This window comes from Homo sapiens, chromosome 7, assembly GCF_000001405.40.
Source record: "Homo sapiens chromosome 7, GRCh38.p14 Primary Assembly".
NCBI classification, from domain to species: Eukaryota; Metazoa; Chordata; class Mammalia; order Primates; family Hominidae; genus Homo; species Homo sapiens.
The window spans coordinates 28,062,997-28,079,719 of record NC_000007.14 but is presented as its reverse complement, the minus strand read 5'-3'; the positions used below and the strand labels follow the sequence as shown (position 1 = coordinate 28,079,719).

The window sequence follows — 16,723 nt, the reverse complement described above, 5'->3', positions numbered from 1 at the left end:
GAGTACAATTAAATGTTTCTAATTAAAAATTTTAGAGAGGCGCCAAGTTCTTAAGTTCCTACTCAGTTCATCAGCAAGCATGTATTGATTTGCTTGTGGTTGTCATCCTTATCATTATTTTAATATTTGCTAACCTATGGGTAAACTCTCAGGTCATTTTTGTTCAGGAGACTTGTCAGTTTTATGATTTCTCATAATGAATTCCCTTAAGTGATATTTATATTTTATTTTGCTCCTCGTGGCTTAGTTTTCCAGTATTTCTTATTCTATATCAGTGTCTGTCAGAGAAAAATGGGATTGAAGATGTATTTTGAGTTAAGAAGTGATAAAAACAGAAGCGGGAGGCAGCTCCAAGTGAAGGTGGTTGCTGTGATGGAATTTGGTGATCAGAGTCCAAGTGAGGTACATCTTTTAAATTATGCGCATGGCCGGGTGTGGTTGGCTCACACCTGTAATCCTAACACTTTGGGAGGCCCAAGCAGGCGGATCACCTGAGGTCAGGAGTTCAAGAGCAGCCTGCCCAACTTGGTGAAACCCTGTCTCTACTAAAAATATTTTAAAAATTAGCCTGGCATGGTGGTGGGCACCTGTAATCCCAGCTACTTGGGAGGCTGAGGCGGGAGAATTGCTTGAACCTGAGAAGTGGAGGTTGCAGTGAGCAGAGATCACGCCACTTGCACTCCAGCCTGGGCAACAGAGCAAACTCTGTCTCAAAAAAAAAAAAAAAAATTATGGGCATTTTAGATTTTCCATCTGTAAAGAAAGGAGGAGGAACAATGTGGCATCTCAGGTCCCTACCAATTCTAAAAGTCAGTTATTCTAGTTCTAGAGTACAGGCAAAACTATGGATGGCTTTTTGTTCCTACAATTTTTATGAACATTTTCACTGGCTTTAATATCCATGTCCAAAGTAACAGGGAAGGTAGGACTTTTCACCAATACTCAACTGATCTGCTGCTTCTCTTCTTTTCCAGTGTTTTCCACTTTTCAAAAATTTTTATCATGGACTAGTAGTGCAAGAAAAGGGGCCAGAGTATAGTGTCCGGATTCACTGTTCATAAATGGCATTACAAAAAAAACCCAAGTAGATCCTTTGAATTGTATATTTCATGTCAAGTGGCCCTCTCTCTATTCGCCTGGCAATTAAGAGTTGGTTACATGAAATTAATCTGGTAGTAATACAATCTTCAGTTCACAAAATAATTTTCTTTGCCTTTGAGTAGCAATGCAGCCTGCCTACCGCAAGAGGGCAGTGTAGGTGATTGCATGGAGATGGCTTCTGCAAAAAGAAATGACGTTTATGACACTAGTTTCCAGCTTAGAGAGCATTTTCACATGCACATATGATGGTCTCAGCAGTTCTCTGTGATGGGTGAAGCATGCATAATCGCTCCCATTTTATAGATGGAGAAACTAATGCTAGAAAGGCTTAAAGATAATTTGCATAGAGTTGCACAGCTGATAAATGCCATGCAGTGCTTGAATCCAAGTCTCTTGCCACTATACCATCCTGCCCGTAAGTGGTACATTATCATCATACGAGTGACTTCCTAATGTACAGTTGAGAGGCTGTACAAACCTAGGAAACATCTGTTCTATGGGAAAAATTCTCAATTTTTTTCATCTAACACAGCATCTTGTGAAAACTTTCAAGACTTATGTTTTCTTCTGTTCCATAAAGATGGGAAAGGCCAGGAATTATTTGTCTCATAAGTGCCACCATGCACAGCCATCATTGCAGTCTCAGTTATTTTGAGCTAGATTACATAGTGGGTCTTAAATAGTAGATGGGGAGGAGAAAGAGGTCAAAGTGAAGGAGAAATCAGGACCCGGATGTACATAATCCAAATTACCACTTCCTCAGTTTCCATGGTGAACGTGGAAATTCCCCATGGACTCCCAGAGCTCCAGCTCTTTAAGTAGTTTCAAAGGAGAGAGCAGAATACAGTAAAGGCAGAAGCAAGGCTAAATCAGAACCAAAACAAAGCACCCTGTTTTTGTACACCCAGATGAAGATTTTTCTAAGCTCCCAAATTCTAAGACCTAACACTGGGTGGCCTGCAAGCAGTCAGACAAGTGGTCACTTTGCTGGAGGACTTATATACCAAATTTATTCTACTGGGATTTTGCCACTTTTTTTTGTAGTTAAGGTGGTTCTATCAGGTAATTAATTTTAAGTGCTTTTATTTATTTGTTGTAGAAAAAAAAAAGGCTCCAGTAGCCTTTTTTTGTGGTTATACCAGTTACCTGATGATTCATGAATTCAGATCTAAAACCAGAGTCGGTATAATCAATACGTGAAAAATAGGTGCTGCCTAATTGCCTTTCTAAATCAGTAAAATAATTAAAGCCTTTATAGTCTGGCGGATTAATGTATTGCACATCTGTATGGTCGGCTTAATAGGGAAAATGCTTGAGAAAGATAAAATCACAAGACCAAAAGCAACTAATAGCTGAAAAAAATTTCTATGTAGTTGATTAATTGTCCTCCTCTTTTTTTCTTAAGAGACTAAACATTGAGTAAATCCTCCCAGTTTGTATAGTTCCGATTTAGTCAGCATTCCCATTGTAAAGTGCCGGTGTTATAATTTTTCATTCATCATTTTCTTAGATTCCAATGTAAGTGTCGTTGTTGTGTTTAGTGAAAGAATACAAATATTTATTTTAACATTCTTTAAACAGATTCTTAGTGGAGGGTAGAGCTTTCTAATGCTCTGCAGCTGGGTTTCGGGCTTTAAAATTGGTTGTCGTCTACACACTAAGATCTCTGCAAGTACTCAGCCGCAGAGAGCAAAATCCCACTTGACAAGCAGTCTCTAGATATGGATTTATGCAATAGGATGTCATGTTTACTTTGGACCTGCTATGATCTACCTGGAAAAATTTCCCTATTATACATTTATTAAAAAATTCTAAATATATATTTGCACAATGTTTTCTTATGGAAACATCTGTAAGGAATTATTAACTTACTCATTTCCACACGGGATTTTTTTTTTTTTTTTTTTTTGAGAGAGAGAAAGACAGCAATTGTGTAAGCAAACCGGAGAAAAACTATGAACATAATACATTTAGCATTCACTCTGAATTCCACTTGGATTTTCTTTCGTTCTCATGTTGGTGCAGATAGATAACATAATTGTTATCCTAACCGGAATTCAGAATTCGCATCTCATTCTGATTTCCTTAAACATTTTTAGAATTTCATCAGTCTTTTTTAGCAAAGCCAGTCATGGGAGGAGTTGAGTATTGACCTTTTTTCTTCTTTTTCTTTCTGGTTAGCCTGCATTGAACCTTTGGCCTTACCCCAAGTGTATGGGTGGTATATGTTTTTAAATTGATATATCAATGTTGAATTTTTATTGTCACAGTTTCTGTTCATGCTCCCTTCAAACCTTTCATTTATTTGTTTCTGAACCTTGGATATCTCATAAAAATGTCACCATTGTGGTTGAACATTAAGCACCTTCCCATTTTGCTCTGGGCCGTTGAAATAAATTTGGACCAGGTGCTCTGCTCATAATGGAGCCCCTTGAAGTGCTCTGATAATGAGCCGGGAGCGGAAGCTGTCAGCCTTCAGCTGGCTTGAAGAATGCAATTAGAGCAGTTTTAATACTGCAGAGGGACCCCATCCAATCAAGGCCATTTGAGTTAAACCAAGTCTAGAATCCTAAACATGCACTTTTAAGCTTGTCAGCTTTGTCTCTGCACTGAGAATGGGGAGAAGGCATTCTTGTACAATGGATTCATTTTATGTCCAAAAGAAAAAAAATGCTCTGAATACCTGTAGAAGTTCTCTATCTCTTGTCTCTCCCATTATGATGTCATTATGACCATATTTATGATCTGATGTCACTGTGGTCAAGATAACCAGTGTCAAATTAAGTTTCAAATGAATCAAGGACTTAGCAAGCCCATTTCTAGAATTCCACCCTAAAAATAGTGCACAGCCTTTTTTTTTAATAGCAAAAAATGGGATTCACCTAAATATCCATTAATATGGGGAGTGCTTAAGTAAAGTATATTCACTATAGGAAACACTATGCAGCCATTAAAAAGAATAATACTGTCTGTTTTATGTTGTTAAGTAAAGTAAGTCACTTATAGAACAGTTTATAGAGCATGATGTGGTTTTTGGGGAAAACCAACCAATTACAATATACATTTATAGGTAGACAGAGAAGGTTTGGAAGAAAGTATACTAAATTGTTTATGGTAAAAATCAGGAAAAGTGGAGATGGAGGGAGGTAAAGTTTTTTTACTCTCTGTATGTGTGTATTTTAAAATTATTTTCTCATATTTACTTAATACATACTTTTTATATTCTAGGGATAGTTTAGCTCACTATCAGGTAAATGCCCTGTTGTAAGTAAATAAATGAGCTTCTGTGGTCCAGGAGGAGTGGGGAGAAGCTTCTGGTATTAAGGGATGCTGGGGCATAGTAATGATGAGAGGGGTTATCACTGAGGGAGAACTTTACATTCTTCATTTTGGAAAATGCTGCCAACAGCCCTGTGGGGTAGATGCTGTTACACTTACTTTATACCCGAGGATGCACAGGTTTGGAGAGATGTGTTGATTTGCCGGGTCATAAATTTGCAGTGAGTGTAGTAAGGCTTTGAACCCAGGTCAGCTTGGCTCTAGCGACATGCCCATAACCTCTTCCCTTTTGCCTGCTTGGTTTCTGAGGACAGTTCTTTAAAAGTGGATTTGATTTCCTGGGACGTGTGTCCTTTACCTCTTCATTTCTTTCAAGAAAATGAGGACACAATTCAGGAGTAGTTGTTATTGTCGTTAATGGTTGACATTTTTTATAAATGCTTAGACTAGTCATTAAGAAGTCTCATTCTGTGCTCATGGGATTCACAGTGGATTCTCCAGTGAGTGGAAGTCTTTGTCCTAAAATGAGGCAGTGTATAATAATGTCAGTTAATTTCATTTGAAATACAGTTTAAAAATAAACAATTTCACACATCAGACAAGCCAGGGTTGTCTTCATTAATGAGAAATATTATGCAAAATTTAAAGATCAGAATAATTATAAAAGTATTTTTATAAACTCCTTTATAAACTTACTCCTGCTAAGTAGCAGCTTACTCAAATAGCTCATTTCTTCTAACATATTTATTAAGCCACAAATCTTTTTTGATTTCATAAAAATAAGCTTATTTCATCAACAAAAACTAGGACTCTGTATGTATGTGTGTATGTACACATAAGTACATACATATGTGTATTTCTGTTTCTGATTTTTAAAAGCTCTCCACAATGTTTTGTTTGTTTCCCATATCTTCTTTAGCTTGGATTTCTGCTTCATATGGGATACTGCTTTCCTGTTGGCTTTTTAAGGTGTTGTGCATAATATTAAAATCTCATTTCAGGTTTCCTCTCTATTCCATGACTCAAACTTTGGAATTATTCCTATGAAAGAAATAATTACTAAATTTAGCCACAAGTTAGCCTCTTCCAGTGACCTCAACAAACATTTCATGGCCCTTCTTCTGACATTGTGACACTGACTTTTTTAACTTATTTGGGGCAAATTAATTACTTAGGACAAATAATGTAAACATCCTTGCCCAGAGGCCTGGAAAAGTAGGAACACATAGGTAGACATGAGGCACTTAGAAAATGTTGCAATGACCCTGTACAGTACTGTTAGCTAATTTTATAATAAAGCATAAGAAAGCAATAGAATACGTTGAAGGGAAAAAGCCTCACCTCTGATTTTTTTTTTTTTAACTAAGTAAACTTTTTTTTCAAGCATCTACTCTTAAATAATTGAATTTACTTGGCATTTAGGTTCTTTTTTCTTATGCAATTTCTTTCTAATTACGATTATTTTATTTTATGTTTTGCTTCTTATCAACCCCTTTGACCATGTAATCATGAGACTATCACTGGACCTTCTTTCCCTTTGTTGCAAAGAAAATTCACACATCCAGGGACTTCTGCATGTAGGTGAGTTTCTTTGAAAATGGCCACAACAGAGTGGTTTTTCCTCCTGGGGTTGCCAGCCAGCACTGCCCCGGGCAGGGGCAATAATGCATATGTGACGTAAATAAGCACGTTCCCTGTGATGAGACGTGAGGGCTCCTTATTCTTCCAAAGAGACTGTGCCTCAGTGGTTCTAAGTGTACCTTGTGAAATTGTCTCCCGGGAGAATACTTTAGGCCAAATTATTAAGAGACAGCCTAACAAACTACTTTGATTTAAAGTGAAAATAAAGCAAAATGCAAAGATTCGGGTCCAGAGAGTCAGGATGGGAGTCATGTGGTCCTGGCTTTGATTTTCAGTCCTTGGGTGCGCCCTTGCCTGAGAGAAAGGGAGGGGAGGCAGCCTGAAGTGATCACACTCCAGGGCAAATCTGAGGACTGACCTTCCCTCTCAGTATAAAAGAGCCCTACAAACAACAGCATGGATGGGTGTGTGGGCTTCATGGGAAGCCCAGAGACCAGGTCTCCAGCCACGCTCCGGCACAACGAGCTCTGCTAACTCAAGTACCCTGTAACCTATCTAGATATTAGTTGCTTATTTTAAAACATAGGGGATTGGAGAGGGTCATCTCCAACTCGGATGAAGGAAATTTAGAAGACGATAGTGTTGTGTTTTGTGGGAAAGGAAGATTGTGGGTCACACATTGCCCACTGCTAACACCTACCGATAGTGCTATTTTAAAAAGTCATGTATTTTCATACTGAGGCAAGGCTGGAGTTTCCTTTTCTGAGCTTTGGGAGGAGGGGAACAAGGTGAGAGAGGTTGTCTTTGTACTTTTCTTAAATACATAATTTTTTTTGGTTATTCACATAATGTCATCACCATTTTGGTTTTTAAAAAATATGTATCCAGAGGAAAATCTGAAAGGTGTATGCAAGTTTATATAAACTATTTTCTAAAAATTAAAAATACATGCACATGACTTGAAAAATTTAAATGATACAAAGAAAGGTAAACTCATCCTTCCCTGATCCTCCAACCCCATCCCAACTTTTGAAACAACTGTTAAGTGTTTATATCTTTCCTTCTAAAACGTTAATTATACATGTTTGGGTGGGGTGGTGGTGGAAGGGAGCTGAATTATGGATGGTTTCTGTTTTTTCTTTAGTTTATCTTTTCTAATTTTTATAATTACTTCTAGTCTTTTTAAGTTTTATCCAAGAATTTGTATGTCTGGAGATACTTATCTCAAAAGTGAAGCAATGCCAATTTACATTACAAGACCTGACTTTGGGAATTGTTATATGCTATTTAAGCATAGAGTTGCATATAGCCATATCCATAAGTAAATATGGTAACAATTATTTGAAGTGAACTTTATTCTTCAGCCTGAACAGATTATATTCTATAGTAGGCTTATGCCGTTTTGTTAATTGCATTAATTATTTATTACATGCTGCCATTTCGCACAGTTCAGTGGGTTGTGGGAAGTTGATTATAGAAGTTTGTTTCAAGTCAGTTTTACACCCTGGTTGACAAAATCATCACACTTTCTCACTGAAATGAAAGAGCTGGAATAATGCTTGGGGCAATTATAACAGATGCAAGGTTAAGGTGCAAACTGTGTGTGAAGCCCAGCCACCATATTTTTAATGAGATCCAATTTATGCAAGCAATATATACAGTGTTTCCTTTATTCGTCTTCTCAGAAGTTCTTCATTTTGATGGATTTTAGAACAGAAGACGTGTTTGATTCAGACACGTCTCCCAGACTTCATACTACGATGTTAAACTTACAACATCATGAATTTCTTCTTTAACATTTTCTGCCTTCTGACAAGAAAACAAAAGTTAAAATGAGCTCTTTTGTATTGTTAGTAGTTCCATTACATATTTTTGGAATAAGAAATGCCGAGAACTTGTTAAACATGGAATCGCTTGAAACAGCAGGATCTCTCCTGAACCCGAGCAGTAATAATGCAAATCGAAAGCAGCTTCCTCCTCTGCAAATTTGCACTTTTTCTGATCACAGATGTGTCCTTCCATGTTGCCTGTCTTTGTAAACCAAGCATATTTTTGTCATCACCTCCAAACCCTTTAATCAGCTGTAAGTGCCGTCACTGGATAGAAGGTCCGTCCTTGGGTCTGTATGTGGGTGGCAAATGGTAAGTGAAAGGTTTCACTGAAATCTTGGCAGATTAGGAGCTGGTTAAAAATACTTTTATGGGACATACTAACTTTTGTGTATTAATATATTTATTGAAAAACCAAAATCTTTCCAAATGGTTCTATGAGGAAGGAAAGAAATGAGAGTTGAATTATAAAAGTTTGAAAGGAGGACTAAAGATTTTTCAGGGCAGTTGAGGCAGGGTTTTCAGAATTTGCATTTAGCCACTAAACTGTAGACGCCTGCTGGTGTTGGAGTTGACAGAGGTGTATCTGCTGAGGTTATTAGGTCTTTGTCCTGGTGCATAAAAGTGGAAGAGTATGCTGTGATGAGCTCTTTTCATAACGTTATGAACGCAGGTCTTGCCTGTGACTTAGAACAGTCTCTTTTGGTGTCAAACCTCCCTGTGCACTGGCTTCCGGCTACACCTAGTTGGATCTTTGTATCACACCGCATTGCTTGCTGACCTGTAGTATTTCGCTACACACAGGGATTCTGGCTCTCCAGAGCCGATTCCGTTTTAGGCAGCTGCCTTCCCCATGTAGGAATACTCTGTTTATCTTACCTTCACCCGGTAACCAGTTCTAGGTAAGATGCCTGCTGGTCATGGCCCTGTTCCCATGAAGGTATTCACAGTTTTCATTTCAGTCAATCAAATTTATTGAATGTCTGCTCTGTGTGTGCAGTATGCAAGTGCTGGGGATAGAAAGATGAATAAAACCACAGTCTGTGCCCTCGAGGAGCTCACGCTTTAATAGGGGATTTTGGATGACCTTAATGCTTCAGGACTTAGTAAGAAATAAGCCCGAGTACTTGTGAAATGTTAGGCTTTGTTGATGAATGTCATGAAGAGAATATGTACCTTTCTGTTGCCTTCACACTCTACCTCTGGCCCTCTGTGCTGTTCAAATGCCCATCTTCCTGCTACCTCCTCTACCTTGAAACATTGCAGGGCTTGGAGGGAGCTTGTTCTAAAGTCTAAGAAGAGCTAGATGATTTGTAAAACTTTCTTCAGACCAGCTGCCACTGACAGCCTGCCCGGAGCCGGACATGGGGCAGGATCGTGCCGGGATTGCTGTGACTGGATGGTGGAAAATTTTGCAGAAACATCTGTTCTGTTTGGAGGGTCCAAATAGTTTTAAAAACATGTGCTTAGCCAAAGCTCATATTTCACAAAACCTTTGCAAATATCTAGAAGCTTTTCTTCTTTTCTATGTGGACGTGGAAGCAAAGGAGAGGAAAATGTGGCCACATGTATGTTTTCAACTTCTTATTTCCAAGTATTTGGCTTTTTCAGGGATGAGAACCAATCAGATCACTTTCGTGAGGTATGCAGTGCCTCTAGACTGTTCTCTCTCTTTTGGATAGATACATGAAGTCTTGAAGAAAGAAAAATTTCTCTAAACACAATGGGAGAGATTACAGTAATGCTATCAAGCTGTAGTTTTAATTGCTTGAAAATAAACGAAGAAAAAGGTTCACAGCTGTTTGAGAGTGAGGACCAATCAAGGGCAGAGCAACAAAAAAGCTCCCCTTTCCTGGGATGACTGCCAGGACTCAGCTCTCCACATCTGAAGACGTTTTACAAAGTGCAGTGTGCCGTGAGCAGGGAGAGAAAGGCATCCAGAGAAGGCGCGGGAGGACTTGAGTGAGGAGCCAGGTCCTGGCTTCATCCCAGTCTGTGGGCCTCAAGGTCAGGGGAGTAACGAGCTCATGGCCGACAGACCGGGATGACAGGGACTTCTTAGGGGACAAGTATGAGTTTGTTCAAACTTGGGGGCATGAGTTTTTGAGAACACGGCTCAACGCTCAGCATGGTGAATGCTGCAGACCTAGCATGGAGCCGTACCTGGCACCTCCAGGAGAAAAAAGCGCCCCAAACTCTAAAGCTAAAGGCCTCTGCACATGATTGCCTGTGAACCAGAGGGTTGGAGATTAGTTTTCTCCCCCCTTAGGTCATTATGTATGTTCCAAGTTGGGCATGGAGAGCAGCTCTTCTGCCCTTTGAACCTGGTACAGACCCAGGAAACCTGGGCCTCTCCCTCGGTACCTCTCATTACAGGTGCATGGCTCAGGCTCATGGAACAAATCAGCTGACTTTTCCTTTGTTTCTTAATGCTAGGGAGCAGGCAGGGAGCTAAAGGCTGAAGGAAGTTGAGGCAGTTGTCCTTAAGACTATCTTTAGTGAAGTGAAAGGTGCAGAATCTGCCATTTGTCATGTCACCTTAGAACAAGGCAAAATCCCCAGGGTACAGACATCCAATTGATGTACCATACTTGATCTCCAGGTTAAAATATAATACAGCTATGATGCATGAGTCTCATTGTGAAAACAGCTGATTGGTGAGGAAGGTCAGTTCTCACTAAATTGGAGAGATGAGGCCGTGAGATCAAGAGGAAGCAGCGCTGAGCTGGGAGTCCAGATAGCTGGCTCTGCTCTCTGCTCTGCCACCAGCTGTGGTGCTGGTTAAGTTACTGGGCTCTTCCATCCCCTCTCTGCCTTGTCAGTAGGCAGATTGGATGATGTGTAAGTTCCTCCTGTGCTGAAGATCCTTGAACTGAGGACCTGATTTCCAGAGCCCAGGGAACATCTTAGAAATGGAGTAAATTACATGAGATTTTCCCAGGGGAGGCCTTGATCACATTTTGTACAACATTCAGTCATGTATGGTTGCTATGATACCAGGCAGCATTTTGAAACCATACACAGGGATGAGTCTTTCAGTCAGTGGCCTAAACCATCTCCCTTTGCTGCAGAGCCAGCTTTTCTGCAATTCCAGGGGAAAGTATGGGCAATTGTTAATACCCCAAAGATTTTATATGATTTTAAAACAAAGTGGCCAACAGTGTCAACATTGTTTACCAGTGACTCGTGTCTTTTTTTTCCTTTGTCCTCCTCCTTTTTTAAAAAATAACATTTCCTTGGCCTGTTAATTTCTCTGTTCTATGTTGCTTGTATGGAAAAGTATCTCAAAACCTATAATGTAAACCTCTCAATTTGCTTTACTTTTCCTGCTCTTGAGATTTTCATGTGGCCCTGATTAAAATTTTAATTTGTCAGTAGAGTCAAATCTTATTAGTGCCATTCCAGCAATTGGGCACTGGGATCATTTGCAAGGTCTTCAGGGAAGTTTGCCTTTGCACAGTTTAGGAAAGATTCTGTTAATTAGGTGAATGGTATAATTGATACGACAAGAGGATTGTTTAACTTAAGGGAAGCAATTTATTATGCATGCATGAGAAGCTTCTAGGTATTTACTGACCAATTGCATGCCCATTACATATCCTTTTTGTATTTTAGAGATAATAATCATCTTATATTGTTTACCTCCTAGCCCAGTTTTTGGCACACTTGAAAGTACTACAAATTGTCTTTATGAAAAAAAAAAAAAAAAAAACTAGGCTGAGCACGGTGGCTTACACCTGTAATCCCAGCACTTTGGGAGGCCGAGGTGGGCAGATCATCTGATGTCAGGAGTTCGAGACCAGCCTGGCTAACATGGTGAAACCCTGTTTTTACTAAATATACAAAAAATTAGCTGGGCGTGTTGGTGTGCACCTGTAATCCCAGCTACTCCGGAGGCCGAGGCAGGAAAATCACTTGAACCCGGGAGGTGGAGGTTTCAGTGAGCTGAGATCGCACCATTGCACTCCAGCTTGGGCAACAAGAGCGAAACTCTGTCTCAAAAACAAACAAACGAAAAAAACTACTTAGAAGCAGAAGGAGACGGGAAAGGACACTAGGCTGAGAGACTGAGGCTGAAGTCTAGGTTCTGTTCCTCGCCTCGGCACTGATTAGCAAGTGAGCAAAAGTCATTTATCCCATCTGTACAGTTTGAAGATTGGTTTGAGCACCTGCCGAAGTCCCCTTCCAACCTATTTTGACACTGAGATTTAACAAATTCAAACGAAATTGCCCTACTTGGTTCAAATATGTTTTTCCAAGTGGCCCAAATCTACCTTCTTCGTCATTTTTTCATTTTATTAGACTGGGCAGAAAACAAGAGAAAGTTTGCCCAACACTTGCTCCATCATTGGTTCTCCAGAGCTTTCCAGCAGAAGTCAGATTACCTAAAGCCTGGTGTAGCCTGGGCAGCACTGATGAGGCTCTGGCTGAAGCCTTGGCATTGATTCTCACAGGGCTTTGGCTGTGCTGTGTGGTCACCTCTTTAGTTGCTGGATTATAGCCCCAAGGAGAGGGCAGGAGCAGCAAGGGATTCCTTTGGGGATATGGGCACAACAGCATTTGTCAATGGAGAGATAAAGATTCCACTGGTTTAACAACCAGAACAACAGAACTCATCCCTGTTGATGTCTGAGTCATCTCTGGGATCTTACCCCCTCACAACACTGATGGAGCAAGGAAACATGTTCACTGAGGATAATAGTTACCTTAATTCAGGTTTTTCAGACCCAGCCTTTCCTATCTCCATGTGCTGTGGACCTAGTAAATGACAAAGTTTCACTTAGTTATCTGGAGTGGACACAGACTCCAGCATTTTCTCCTAGAGTTTTTGTCCAGGTGGTCTCACAGCCATGGAGGGATGGCAGCAGCTTGTCAAAGATTCTCATTTTCAAGGGTAGGCAGGTACAAAGGAGTTAACTTGTGGAAGCTTAATCTGGAATGGGGACCAGCCCTGTGCCAAGATGCTGGAGGTACCTGCTAGTTCTTCTTGGCTCTGGATGAGCAGAAGCTGTCTTTGGATGCATTTGTAGGGTTTTTTTGGATAGCTTTTCTTAAAAAGACCATTCATCTTTTCAGGAGTCATAAAATGGAATTACAAACTGATTTTCCAATTAGAGTTTTAAAACAGCAGTAACAATCAAATCAACAGCAGCAGCCACCCTCTGGAAGGTGCCATTAGGTGGTAACCGTGAGCTTGAGGCAAGCACAGACACTTCTTTTCCAAGCAGGGACCTTGCAGTACTCTGGTTGAGGATCATCATCTGGTTTGATGGTTCCCACCTTTTGTTGTTAATGCTTTCTCTTTTTTTTTTTTTTTTTTTTTTTTTGAGATGGAGTCTCGCTCTGTCGCCCAGGCTGGAGTGCAGTGGTGCGATCTCGGCTCACTGCAACCTCTGCCTCCTGGATTCAAGCAATTCTCCTGCCTCAGCCTCCCAAGTAGCTGGGATAACAGGCATGCGCCACCATACCTGGCTAATTTTTTGTATTTTTAGTAGAGATGGGGTTTTACCATGCTGGCCAGGCTGGTCTCGAACACCTGACCTTGTGATCCCCCTGCCTCAGCCTCCCAAAGTGCTGGGATTACAGGTGTGAGCCACTGCGCCCAGCCTTGTTGTTGATGCTTTCTTTGCCACTTCCAGCCCTGACCTGGCCTGTACCGGAGCCTTTCCAGTGTTCTTTTAACAAAGCATCCAGCAGTTCTTAGAAATACCTCTGGTGAAGTTCCGTAGCCTTAGAGATTTGTTTCTGTAATTGTTAGAATTCAGTGCATCTAAGGTGTGTGTTAACACTTCTGTAATGAGCTTAGCAAAGACTAAATCTGCCTGGGGGTGATTTCCTTAGCATTCCTAAATTCTTGGTTCTAGGTGGAATGAAAACAAAAAACAGAGATAGCACTAGTGAGTTCCTTGCTTACATTAGTAGTCCTCTCGTGAACATTTAACTGTGCTCTTGGCAAGTTTTGCGATCCATCTGGTCCAGTATTTTGGTCACAAGTAAAAATTTCCTTCATGGAGCTCAACATCCCACCCCCTGCTTGGTGTCAGGTCTAAAATGCGCACTGTTTGGGAAAGGAAAAATAGCCCCGGGCTGTAATCGCTAACACACAAATAAAACGTGTTGTAGTTTTATTTTCTCTGCCTTTTCCCATTTAAAAAGAAGGACAAATATAGGACTCATATAACTGGCAATTTCCTAGGAAAGAAAAAGAAAAGGCATGAGGTGGTTGGGTGATTTTCTTTTTCTTTAGCTATCACATTAACCCTTGGTATTTTACTACCTAGATAACAAGATGCTAGGCAGGATGTAAAACATTTTTGGTAATTTTTCGAAATAGTTGCAAAATTTGTAGGCCATCCTGTGCTGACTTAACAACACATGTTGGGATAGGATCGTGACATTTATGGTCTGCTTGTTGGCAGGAGAAGGTCTGTGAAACATTGTGCAATAAACAAAGTGTGTTTCTTCCATTCCCTCACCTCACTGTCTGATTGTTCTCCTGAGGCGCCTCCCCGCTTCTCTCACCCACTCCTCTACTCTACCCAGGTTTTCACTGTGTTTCTTCCATTCCCTCACCTCGCTGTCTGATTGTTCTCTTGAGGCGCCTCCCCGCTTCTCTCACCCACTCCTCTACTCTACCCAGGTTTTCACTCTGCTTACATTTGTCAAGAACCCCAGACTATGTCTCCTGGACCCAAGTCTGGCTCCCTTCTGTCCTCTCCTATTTAAAACCTACCACCCCCAAATCTTACTCCCAAAAGATTCCTTATCAGCGCTTAGGGAGAAAGTCAGCTGACTGATTCTTTGGTCATTTTCACCAACACCACAATTAATATGTAGGTTATTGTCTGCCAGGATCTGGGACTATGGAGTTAAAGAAGATCCAGTCATTTCCCTAAAAGCACTTAACCTAAATGTGATTTGGATATGCTGCTTGAGTGAGTTTGGACTCAGGATCTACAAATGCCCTTCACACTTAGATTCTCAGATCTAAAGTTTAGATTCTTAGATCTAAAGTTATATAATGAATAACCCTATAGAATGAATCTCTAATGGTAGAATTTAAGATATCCTGTTAAGCTGGTCAAGAAATGTTAAAGGCTAAGTGATCTAGTGCCTCTGAAATTGTACCCTGTTTATTCCACCTGCCAGTAAGGTCATTAGCAGAGCAGTTTTTAGAGGAAAACAAAAAACAAAAAAACTTCTTTGGTTCTCAAGTTCCTAATCTGTGAAAGAAGACTGAGTTAGATGATAATAAGATCTCTTTATGCTTTATCCCACATTCCTGATATTTTGTTTGGCAAACATGAAGTATGAGGAAGTTCTGTTTGACTACTTGAGTGTTGTTGAAAGTTTGCTTCCTCAACTGTCATTATATTGATATTAGTTTAAACATTTATAGAATTTTTTTGTAGCTACATTTCAGAATGCATTGCTTAGTTTTTCAATTTAAAAACTAGTTCTTTGTTGAATGGGTGATAAATAGGACCACATTTCTTTTTGTTCTTTTCTATTTAATAATCAGTTTCCAGAAATCTTGCTTTCTGCTCTCATGTTGGAATAAAAATTGAAAAAGCATTTGCTTATATACGATTTTTACATAGTTTCCTTCTTTTAAATTTTATGTTGGTTTCCTGCTGGCTGGTTAAAGTAGAAAATGATGAGGTTTGAAATATGTTTCTATTTTGGGGGGAAATTAAAATTAAAAGACAAAAATAAGTAAATATATAGCCAGATGTTCCGGTCATTGAGGGGTGTTAATTCCATATCTTTGGTTTCCTTGATTTTGCCTACCTCAGACATATATATATATTTTTTAAATTATAATTTACAGGATGTCCAATTTTTTTTAACTCTTGGCAGTTACCTATCACTGTTAGACTGGTGTGACCTTTTAGAATATTTTGGGAAGAGAAAAAATGGAGCATTTATTGCAGTCATGTTGAAACTCTGCTTCAATATGATATGCAACTCATTACATTTAAAATTCCATTTTGGTAACTTTCACACTGTGGCATTTCTTGAGCCCTCTCTCACATGTCAAAGAGATGCATATAGATTGGAAACTATTTATTCAGGCAACCTCAAATGGTACTATAAATATAGTTGTAAAATGTCAAGTTATTTGCATGCTGGTGAATTAGATGTCCTAAAAATTTTTGTAATCCCAGATATTTGCTTGTTTCTATTACCAAGAAACACGGGAATATACTACAAATAATACATATCATTCTTTTCTTTCTGTTCTATTTTAGTGTAGTTTTGTTTTAGATTTTGATTTAATTTAGCTTTTACAATTAAGAGCCCACGTTCAAATAGATGTGATATGAAACTATTCTTAAAGATATTTGATTCTTTTTTCCACTGAATTATATGGGTTATACACTTAAGAAGTGTTTAATAATGTTGGTCATTATTACAAGAGTGATTTTTTTGGAGGAAATTTTTTGTTATATTTTGCTATGAAGTCTCCCTGCCTTTCCTTCTCTTTTTTCACCTATATTCTGGTTCTATTGCAGTTCGCAGAAGTGAGGATGCCTCATTCATCTTTTTATATCACAGTACCTAGTCTACAGTCTGTCCAATACTGGGTACTAAAGGAAAGATGAATAAATGATCTATATTTTTAAACGCACTTTTTAATACCTTAGTTTCAAATGTTATTCTGGAAGTAATTAGGATCTGCAAATTCTTGTTAAAATGTTTTAGAATAAGGCATTGTGAAATTATTTGTTATTTTTAAATTATAAACAAAAGTCCAGCCCTTTTCTGTGGAAGAGAGAAAGAACAGAGTGTGAAAAGAGGAAGAAATAATTAATTTGACTTTAAATCCTTGGGTAGGCAAGGTGCTGAGCTTGGAATTTTTTCATATGATATAAGCAAAGAATAAAATAAGCTTAGATGTTTTCTTGCATCATTCAAAGTTTTTCAAAACA

At 39.3% G+C, this 16,723-nt stretch overlaps 1 protein-coding gene across 3 annotated transcripts in view, besides 1 other annotated feature; it reads left to right on the top strand.

Annotated features, from left to right (window-relative positions):
- Window positions 1-16,723, top strand: part of JAZF1 (JAZF zinc finger 1) — a 350,219-nt gene that overhangs the window by 101,076 nt on the left and 232,420 nt on the right. The window lies entirely within an intron of this gene.
- Window positions 1,568-4,436: an enhancer, noted in NCBI's record as "VISTA enhancer hs1430". NCBI's record gives its function as "enhancer in: limb[11/12]" and the evidence as "EXISTENCE:transgenic organism evidence [ECO:0001131][PMID:17130149]".